Source organism: Homo sapiens, chromosome X (assembly GCF_000001405.40).
Source record: "Homo sapiens chromosome X, GRCh38.p14 Primary Assembly".
In the NCBI taxonomy this organism is placed as follows: Eukaryota; Metazoa; Chordata; class Mammalia; order Primates; family Hominidae; genus Homo; species Homo sapiens.
In genome coordinates this window covers 1,257,571-1,268,813 of record NC_000023.11, presented here as the reverse complement: position 1 = coordinate 1,268,813, position 11,243 = coordinate 1,257,571, and the positions used below count along the sequence as shown (strand labels likewise).

Here is an 11,243-nt window from a genome sequence, read left to right as displayed (position 1 = left end):
AGCTCCCTTCAGAGTTCCTCTGTGTCATCATACACTCCCTGCCCCTCCCTCCCCTGCTTCCTCATTTCATAGGATTGGGAAACCTGTAATTGCTCCGTGAGTTCATTGGCTCCTGACCTCGTCTCCAAAGACTGGCCCGTGGAACAGCTCAAGTGTGAGTCCCACACACATCTACACACACACACCTGCACACACATGTATGTCTGCACACACATCTGCACACACAGACCTGCACACGCACACATTCCCACACGCCCGCACACACGTGCACACACACTCCTGCACACATGCTTGCACGCGTGTGCATGTTTGCACACACACCTGCACACACAGACCTGCACACACACACATCTCCACACACCTGCACACAGTGCGCACGGGCGTACACACAGCTACACACACATCTGCACACACACCTGCACACATATGCATGTCTGCACACACAACTGCACACACAGACCTGCACACACACATCCCCACACACCTGCACACAGTGCACATGGGCATACACACAGCTACACACATATCTGCACACACATCTGCACAAACAAGCACACTGGCACAGTCCTGCACACACACCTGCACACACATACATGTCTGCACACACATCTGCACACACAGACCTGCACACTCACACATCCCCACTTTCCTGCAGGCACATGCATGTCTGCACACACAGACGTGCGCACACATCCCCACACACCTGCACACAGGGCACATGTGTGTACACACAGCTACACACACACATCTGCACACACACCTGCACGTACGTCTGCACAAACAAGCACAATGGCACACACACTTGTCTACACACGCACATCTGCACACACACCTGCACACACATGCATGTTTGCACACACATCTGCACACACAGACCTGCACACACATCCCCACACACCTGCACACAATGCACATGTGCATACACACAACTACACACACATCTGCGCACACACCTGCACACACATGCATGTCTGCACACACAACTGCACACACATCCCCACACACCTGCACACAGTGCACACGGGCGTACACACAGCTACACACACATCTGCACACACATCTGCACAAACAAGCACACTGGCACAGTCCTGCACACACACCTGCACACACATACGTCTGCAAACACATCTGCACACACAGACCTGCACACTCACACATCCCCACTTTCCTGCAGGCACATGCATGTCTGCACACACAGACGTGCGCACACATCCCCACACACCTGCACACAGGGCACATGTGTGTACACACAGCTACACACACACATCTGCACACACACCTGCACGTACGTCTGCACAAACAAGCACAATGGCACACACACACTTGTCTACACACGCACACCTGCACACACACCTGCACACACATGCATGTCTGCACACACAACTGCACACACAGACCTGCACACACACATCCCCACACACCTGCACACAGTGCACATGGGCGTACATAGAACTACACACACACATCTGTACACAAGCACATCTGCACACACACCTGCACACATATCTGTACACACACACACCTGCACACAGTGCACATGTGCATATACACAAGGACACATGCACATCTGCACACACATCTGCAAACACACACCTGCACACACATCTGTACACACACACACCTGCATACACATGCATGTCTGCACACACAGACCTGCACACACACGCATGTCTGCACACACAGACCTGCACACACACATCCTCACACACCTGCACACAGTGCACATGTGCATACACACATCTGCACACACACACATGCACACACACCTACACGCACGTCTGTACACACACCTCCATACACATGCATGTCTGCACACACAGACCTGCACACACACATCCCCACACACCTGCACACAATGCACATGTGCATACACACAACTACACACACATCTGCACACACACCTGCACACACATCTGTACACACACACACACCTGCATACACGTGCATGTCTGCACACACAGACCTGCACACACACATCCCCACACACCTGCACACAGTGCACCTATCCATACACACAACTACACACACATCTGCACACGCCTCTGCACAAGCATATTGGTGTACACACACCTGCACAGACACTTGCACACACACAAATACAGATGCCTTTTGTGCTGTCTACAAAATCATAAGAAACATCACGCAGGCCAGGGGCAGTGGCTCACTAAAAAAAAAAAAATACAAAAATTAGCCAGGCGTGGTGGCGAGTGCCTGTAATCCCAGCTACTCAGGAGGCTGAGGCAGGAGAATCCCTTGAACCCAGGAGATGGAGGTTGCAGTGAGCTGAGATGGTGCCATTGCCCTCCAGCCTGGGCAACAAGAGCAAAACTCCGTCTCAAAAAAAACAACCAAACAGACTGGACATGTGTTACGATACTAACAGTTGGCGCCTAAACAAAGCATAGGGCTTCATGCACATGCAATGGAAAACACCTGGATAGCAACATCAGCAAAGGTGAAAGATGGCTGACCAGGCTGCACCTCTACCGTCTTAGCCTCCCCATTCCTGCAGGAGCTGTCTTAGTCCATTCATGTTGCTGGAAAGGAATACCTGAGGTTGGGTAATTGATAAAGAAGAGATCATTGGCTGGGCGCGGTGGCTCACGCCTGTAATCCCAGCACTTTGGGAGACCGAGGCAGGCGGATCATGAGGTCAAGAGATCAAGACCAGCCTGGCCAACATGGTGAAACCCCATCTCTACTAAAAATACAAAAATTAGCTGGGTGTGGTGGCGTGCACCTGCAGTCCCAGCTACTTGGGAAGCTGAGGCAGGAGAATCAATTGAACCCGGGAGGCGGAGCTTGCAGTGAGCCGAGATGCTGCCACTGCACTCCAGCCCGGCGACAGAGCGAGACTGTGTCTCAAAAAAAAAAGAAGATTATAAATCATGCTGCTATAAAGACACATGCACACATATGTTTATAATGGCACTATTCACAATAGCAAAGACTTGGAACCAACCTAAATGTCCAACAACGATAGACTGGATTAAGAAAATGTGGCACATATACACCATGGAATACTATGCAGCCATAAAACATGATGAGTTCATGTCCTTTGTAGGGACAGGGTTGAAGCTGGAAACCATCATTCTGAGCAAACTATCGCAAGGACAAAAAACCAAACACCGCATGTTCTCACTCATAGGTGGGAATTGAACCATGAGAACACATGGACACAGGAAGGGGAACATCACACACCGGGGACTGTTGTGGGGTGGGGGGAGGGGGGAGGGACAGCATTAGGAGACATACCTAATGCTAAATGACGAGTTAATGGGTGCAGCACACCAACATGGCACATGGATACATATGTAACAAAGCTGCACGTTGTGCACACGTACCCTAGAACTTAAAGTATAATAATAATAAAATTTTTAAAAAAAGGTAAAAAAAAAAAGAGATTATTTATTCGGCTCATAGTGGTTCTCCAGGTTGTCCAGGAAGCGTGGTGTTTGGACCTGCTTGTGGTGAGGACGTCACGCTGCTTCCAGTCATGACAGAAAGTGAAGGGAAGACATTGTGTGTGGAGAGACCACATGGGCAGAAAGGAAGCAAGAGAGAGCGGGGGGAGGTGCCAGGGTCTTTTCAACAACCAGCTCTCCTGGAAACTGAGAATGAGAACTCACTCATGACTATGGGGGCAGGACCAAGCCATTCATACGGGATTCACCCACATGGTTTAAACATCTCCCACCAGGTCCCACCTACCACACAGGGGGTCAAATTTCAACATGAAACCTGGCAGGACCAAACAAACCGTATCCAAACTGTAGCATGCTGCCTCTCTCCAGAATTGATGTAGAGAAGGTTATCTCCCAAGAGCTCAAGCAGGTGGCTCACGAAGGCTGCTGGAAATGGCCACCATGGTGGATCTTCTTGTGAATGGCTCATACTTTGTTGCTGACATCGATGTAGAGAAATTTAACTTTCCAAGAGTTCAACCAGATGGCTTACCAAGGCTCAAACTGCAAACTATAGTGGGTCTGCTTGTCAATGGCTCATACCCTGTTTCTGACTTTCACCATTCATGTAGAGAAGTTTGTCTTTCCAAGAGCCAAATCAGATGACTCACCAAGGCTGCTGGAAGTGGGCACAATAATGGGCCTTTTTGTCTTTAATGAATCATGCCCTGTTGTTGACATCAATGTAAAGAAGTTTATCTTCCCAAGAATTCAACCAGATGGCTCAGCCAGGCTGCTGGAACTGGGCATCATGGTGGATCTTTTTGTCAAAGGCTCATATCTTCTTGTTGACATTGATGTAGAGAAGTTTATCTTCCCAAGAGCTCAACCAGATGGCTCAGCCAGGCTGCTGGAACTGGGCATCATGGTGGATCTTTTTGTCAAAGGCTCATATCTTCTTGTTGACATTGATGTAGAGAAGTTTATCTTCCCAAGAGCTCAACCAGATGGCTCAGCCAGGCTGCTGGAACTGGGCATCATGGTGGATCTTTTTGTCAAAGGCTCATATCTTCTTGTTGACATTGATGTAGAGAAGTTTATCTTCCCAAGAGCTCAACCAGATGGCTCAGCCAGGCTGCTGGAACTGGGCATCACGGTGGATCTTTTTGTCAAAGGCTCATATCTTCTTGTTGACATTGATGTAGAGAAGCTTATCTTCCCAAGAGCTCAACCAGATGGCTCAGCCAGGCTGCTGGAACTGGGCATCACGGTGGATCTTTTTGTCAAAGGCTCATATCTTCTTGTTGACATTGATGTAGAGAAGTTTATCTTCCCAAGAGCTCAACCAGATGGCTCACCCAGGCTGCTGGAACTGGGCATCATGGTGGATCTTTTTGTCAAAGGCTCATATCTTCTTGTTGACATTGATGTAGAGAAGTTTATCTTCCCAAGAGCTCAACCAGATGGCTCACCCAGGCTGCTGGAACTGGGCATCATGGTGGATATTCTTGTCAAAGGCTCATATCTTCCTTTTGACATTGATGTAGAGAAGTTTATCTTCCCAAGAGCTCAACCAGACGGTTCACCAAGGCTGCTGGAACTGGCACTGTTATACTACTTCTTGTCAATGGCTCACACCTTGTTTCTGAGTTTCACCATCAATGTGGAGAACTTTAAATTCCCGAGTTCAACCAGATGGCACACCAGATGCACACCGTGATATAATGGCTCGTATCTCACGGCTCACTCCCAGCTTAGGGCCAGATCCATTCAATTGTATTCATCCGACCCTCACAAAGCACCTTAAGCATTTTTCTTTTCTTTTCTTTTTAGACGGAGTTTTGCACTCTCTCCCAGGCTGGAGTGCAATGGTGCAATCTCGGCTCACTGCAATCTCCGCCTCCCGGGTTCATGCGATTCTCCTACCTCAGCCTCCTGAGTAGCTGGGATTACAGGCACCCGCCACCACACCTGGCTAAGTTTTTGTATTTTTAGTAGAGACGGGGTTTCACCATGTTAGCCAGGCTGGTCTCTATCTCCTGACCTTGTGATCCGCCCGCCTCGGCCTCCCAAAGTGCTAGGATTACAGGTGTGAGCCACTGCACCCCGGCCTGAAGTGAGTTTTTCTTGTTGTTTTCTGTTCCTGGATGGGATGGCAGAACTGGTTTTGCCAGATGGCCAGTCTAGGTGGTGTCAGCCGATCCGCCAGATGCAGGCTCTGCAAAACATCTCAAGCATCGATCTTAGTTTTACAACAGTGACATACTCCTGCAGGAGCCCTAAACTGTAATTTCTAATTTTGTAGCTAATTTGTGAGTCCTGTGAAGGCAGACTGGACCTTAGCTCTTAGGGAAAGGGGCTGTTTTCCATTTTGTTTCAGAATTACACCACGAACTGAATTTCTTCTCTTTTTTTTTTTTTAATTTTGAGAAGGAGTCTCACTCTGTCGCCCAGGCTGGAGTGCAGTGGCGCGATCTCGGCTCACTGCAAGCTCCACCTCCTGGGTTCACGCCATTCTCCTGCCTCAGCCTCCCGAGTAGCTGGGACTACAGGCGTCCACCACCACACCAAGCTAAGTTGTTGTATTTTTAGTAGAGACTGGGTTTCACCATGGTTGCCAGGCTGGTCTCGATCTCCTGACCTCGTGATCCGCCCGCTTGGCCTCCCAAAGTGCTGGGATTACAGGCGAGTCACCGCATCCGGCCTCACAGTTGGGTTTTATACATTCTAGGGATACATAAGAAATCAATCAACATAAGCAAGATGGGCCAGGGGCAGTGGCTCACACCTCTGACCTCAGGTGATCTGCCCCTGTCTGCCTCCCAAATGGCTGCATTCTTTTGAGTTTCTGGTTAGCCTCTCTAAAGGAGGCAATTAGATATGCATCTATCTCAGTGAGCACAGACGGTCACTTTGAATAGAATGAGAGGGAGAGGCCCTAAGCAGTTCCCAGCGGGGCCCAGAGATTTATTTTTCTTTCTTCTCGCCCAGGCTGGAGTGCAGTGGCTCGATCTGGGCTCACTGCAAGCTCCACCTCCCGTGTTCACGCCATTCTCCTGCCTCAGCCTCCTGCGTAGCTGGGACTACAGGCGCCCGCCACCACGCCTGGCTAAGTTTTTGTATTTTTAGTAGAGATGGGGTTTCACCGTGTTAGCCAGGATGGTCTCGATCTCCTGACCTCGTGATCCGCCCGCCTCGGCCTCCCAAAGTGCTGGGATGACAGGCGTGAGCCACCGCGCCTGGCGATTTATTTTTCTTTCACAAGGGACATCAGCTTTCGTGGAAGGGGCTAGAAGCAGGTGAAGGAGGAGGTGGGTTGGGGAGGAGGTGGAGTAGGGGAGCAGGGGAGCTGGGGAGAAGATTGAGTTGGGGGAATGCAGAGATAAGAAATAAAAGCTCTGGGCTGGCCGCGGTGGCTCACGCCTGTCATCCCAGCACTTTGGGAGGTGGAGGCGGGAGGATCACCTGAGGTCAGAGGAGTTACAGACCAGCATGGCCAACATAGTGAAACCCTGTCTCTACTAAAAATAGAAAAATTAGCCGGGCATGGTGGCAGCCACCTGTCATCCCAGCTATTCGGGGGGCTGAGGCAGGAGAATTGCTTGAACCCGGGAGACAGAGGTTGCAGTGAGCTGAGATCGCACCATTGCACTCCAGCCTGGGGAACAGGAGCGAGAGACTTTGTCTCAAAAAAAAAAAAAAAAGAAAAAAAAAGAAAAAGAAAGAAAGAAAAGAAAAAAAGAAAAGAAAAGAGAAAAGAAAAGAAAAAAAAAGAAATAGAAGCTCTGCTCTCAGGGGAATGGGATTAAGGGGCAAGGAGGGGGGCTCAGCTTCCCCAGGGAGAAACCATTCAGCTGTGGGGAGGGGTCTGCAGAGCACCTGCCCTCTGCCGGGTTGGGAGCATTGATGATGCTGCCAGAGAGCTTCTCATTCAGGCTGTTCTTTGTTCTCTACATGACAGAAAGCGCCCCTCACAGGGGTCTCCCTGGGGCACCGTGATCAGAATGATCCTGTCCAGATAACTCCTTCCCAACTGGAAATTCTCCATGACAAAAAGCTCAAGCTTCTGGTCCAGGCTCGCTGGCTCACGCCTGTAATCCCAGCACTTTGGGAGGTTGAGGTGGGCAGATCACGAGGTCAGGAGTTCAAGACCAGCCTGGCCAACATGGTGAAACACCATCTCTTACTAAAAACACCAAAGAAATATTAGCCGGGCGTGATGGCGGGCGCCTGTAATCCCAGCTACTCGGGAGGCTGAGGCAGGAGAATCACCTGAACCTGGGAGGCGGAGGTTGCAGTGAGCTGAGTTCATGCCACTGCACTCCAGCCTGGACGACAAGAGTGAAACTCCATCTCAAAACATAAAACAAAACAAAACAAAACAAAAACAATCTCTTGCTGACCGGGCTCATTGACTGACGCCTGTAATCCCAGCACTTTGGGAGGCCGAGACAGGTGGATCAGTTGAGGTCAGGAGCTCGAGACCAGCCTGGCCAACATGGGGAAACACCATCTCTACTAAAAATATCAAAAAAAGGCCGGGTGCAATGGCTTACCCTGTCATCCCAGCACTTTGGGAGGCCGAGGGGAGCGGATCACCTGAGGTCAGGAGTTCGAGACCAGCCTGACCCACAGGGAGAAACCCCGTCTCTACTAAAAATACAAAAATCAGCTGGGTGTGGTGGTGGGCGCCTGTAATCCCAGCTACTCGCGAGGCTGAGGCAGGGGAATCGCTTGAACCCGGAAGTGGAGGTTGCAGTGAGCTGAGATCGTGCCACTACACTCCAGCCTGGGTGAGGAGAGTGAAACTCCATCTCAAAACATAAAACAAAAAAAAAAAACAACAAAAATCTCTTGCTAACCGGGCGCAGTGGCTCACGCCTGTAATCCCAGCACTTTGGGAGGCCGAGAGGGGTGGATCACTTGAGGTCAGGAGTTCAAGACCAGGCTGGCCAACATGGTGAAACCGTGTCTCAAATAAAAATACAAAAACAAAAAAGAAAAATTAGCCGGGCGTGGGGGCAGGCACCTGTACTCCTAGAAACTCAGGAGGCTGGGGCAGGAGAGTCTCTGGAACCTGGGAGGCAGAGGTTGCAGTGAGCCGAGATTGTGCCACTGCATTCCAGCCTGGGCAACAAGAGTGAAACTCCGTCTGAAAACATAAAAACAAAACAAAAGAAAAACCCTGTTTCTGACCGGGCGCAGTGGCTCACGCCTGTAATCCCAGCACTTTGGGAGGCCGAGACGGGTGGATCACTTGAGGTCAGGAGTTCGAGACCAGGCTGGCCAACATGGCAAAACCCTGTCTCTACTAAAAATACAGAAACAAAAAAAGAAAGAAAAATTAGCCAGGCGTGGTGGCAGGCACCTGTACTCCCAGAAACTCGGGAGGCTGAGGCAGGAGAATCTCTTGAACCCGGGAGGCGGAGGTTGCAGTGAGCCGAGATCGTGCCACTGCACTCCAGCCTGGGTGACAAGAGTGAAACTCCGTCTCATAACAAAAACCAAAAACCAAAAAACCCTCATTCCTCTGGAGCCCACAGAACTTCCAGAACCAAAATCCCATGGCCCAGAGGGGTCGGTTTCTACTTCTCTAGGACCGAGGATTACCTGGAAGCTGTGAGTTGCAGGATTTCAAATCTCCCTTGTCTGGCAGTTTATCCTAAAGGTTAGTGGCTGAGAGAAAGGTTCTGAGAACAGATGAGAAACAGGCTTTCCAAGAAACGGAGACTGGGTTTCCCGCTCTGCATGCTCTTCTGCCCACAGAAAGAATTCCCCACGTCTTATTATTCTCCCAGGTTTGGGCCAAAAACTCCGAAACTGATGTCCTTTTCAGAGGCTACTTATTAGCTACTGTTTTGTTTTGTTTTGTTTTGTTTTTTGAGACGGACTCTCGCTCTGTTGCCCAGGCTGGAGTGCAGTGGTGCAATCTCGGCTCACTACAACCTCCGCCTCCCGGGTTCAAGCGATTCTCCTGCCTCAGCCTCCCAAGTAGCTGGGATCACAGGCATGTGCCATCACGCCTGACTAATTTTTTTTTTTTTGTATTTTTAGTAGAGATGGGGGAAGAGGGGGCTCACCGTGTTAGCCAGGCTGGTCTCGAACTCCGGACCTCAGGTGATCCGCCTGCCTCTGCCTCCCAAAGTGCTGGGATTACAGGCATGAGCCGCTGTGCCGGCCTGTTTTGTGAATCTTATGATCTTGGTTTTCACGTGAATGCTGCTCAGCTGTGCCTGAATTCTAAAGGCAGGAGGCTGTAATGAGGCATGTCCGGCCCCACTTTCCATGACGGCCTGAAGTGGACTTTCAGGTTAACTTTTTTTTTTTTTTTTTTGAGACAGAGTCTCACTCTGTCACCCAGGCTGGAGGGCAGTGGCGCAATCTTGGCTCACTGCAAGCTCTGCCTCCTGGGTTCACTCCATTCTCCTGCCTCAGCCTCTTGAGTAGCCGTGATTACAGGCACCTGCCCCCACGCCAACCTAATTTTTTGTATTTTTAGTAGTGACGGGGTTTGACTATATTGGCCAGGCTGGTCTGGAACTCCTGACCTCATGATCCCCCCGCCTCGGCCTCCCAAAGTGCTGGGATTACAGGCGTGAGCCACCGCGCCCGGCCTTAACTTTCAAATGTCCTTAGTTGAGGGAAGGGATCCATTCAGATAGTTGAGCAAGCATTCAAATTTTATTTGTGGTTTACATTAGTGATAACAGGAGCCTGTGGAGATGCTATAAACCTCTGTTTTTTCTCTTCTTTTCTCTTGTTTTTTTTTTTTTTTTTTTGAGACAGGGTCTCACTCTGTCCCCCAGGATGGAGTACAGTGGTGTGATCTCAACACATTGCAATCTCTGCCTCCGGGTTCAAGTGATTCTCATACCTCAGCCTCCTGAGTAGCTGGGATTACAGGCATGCAGCGACATGCCCAGCTAATTTTTGTATTTTTAGTAGAGACGGGGTTGCACCCTGTTGGCCAGGCTGGTCTTGAACTCCTACCTCATGTGATCTGCCTCTCTTGGCCTCGCAAAGTGCTGGGATGACAGGCTGGGATCATGGTATCCAGGCAATTTTTTTTTTTTTTTTTTTGAGACAGAGTCTCGCTGTCTCCCAGGCTGGAGTGCAGTGGCACGATCTTGGCTCACTGCAAGCTCTGCCTCCTGGGTTCACGCCATTCTGCTGCCTCAGCCTCCAAGTAGCTGGGACTACAGGCGCCCGCCAACACGCCCGGCTAATTTTTTGTATTTTTAGTAGAGACGGGGTTGCACCCCGTTGGCCAGGCTGGTATCGAACTCCTACGTCACGTGATCCGCCTGTCTTGGCCTCGCAAAGTGCTGGGATGACAGGTTGGGATCACCGTGCCCGGGCAATTTTATAAAAAAACTTATCTGTACACACAAAGTCTCACTATGTTGCCCAGACTGGTCTCGAACTCCTGGGCCCAAATGATCTGTCTGCAGAAAAACCACAGAGTGATACATGATCTTGGCAGATTCTTTTTTTTGAGACTGAGTCTCACTCTGTCACCCAGGTCGGAGGGCAGTGGTTTGATCTCAGCTCACCGCAACCTCCACCTCCCAGGTTCAAGCGATTCTCCTGCCTCAGCCTCCTGAGTGCAGCTGGGATGACAGGCACACACCACCACGCCTGGCTAATTTATGTAGTTTTAGTAGAGACGGGGTTTCACCATGTTGGCCAGGATGGTCTCGATCTCTTGACCTCGTGATCCACCCGCCTCGGCCTCCCAAAGTGCTGGGATGACAGGCGTGAGCCACCGTGACAGGCGTGAAACTGTTCATTTTTAAGCTTAGGTTTAACACAGTCTGGACACCTGTGTAGAAGCAGAAT

The 11,243-nt window shown here is 50.3% G+C and overlaps 1 annotated feature.

The window, feature by feature from the left end:
* Positions 7,113-7,622: an enhancer, noted in NCBI's record as "NANOG hESC enhancer chrY:1330085-1330594 (GRCh37/hg19 assembly coordinates)". NCBI's record gives its function as "activates a minimal SCP1, AML or CMV promoter by ChIP-STARR-seq in naive H9 embryonic stem cells {active_cell/tissue: H9 hESC(naive)}" and the evidence as "EXISTENCE:reporter gene assay evidence [ECO:0000049][PMID:30033119]".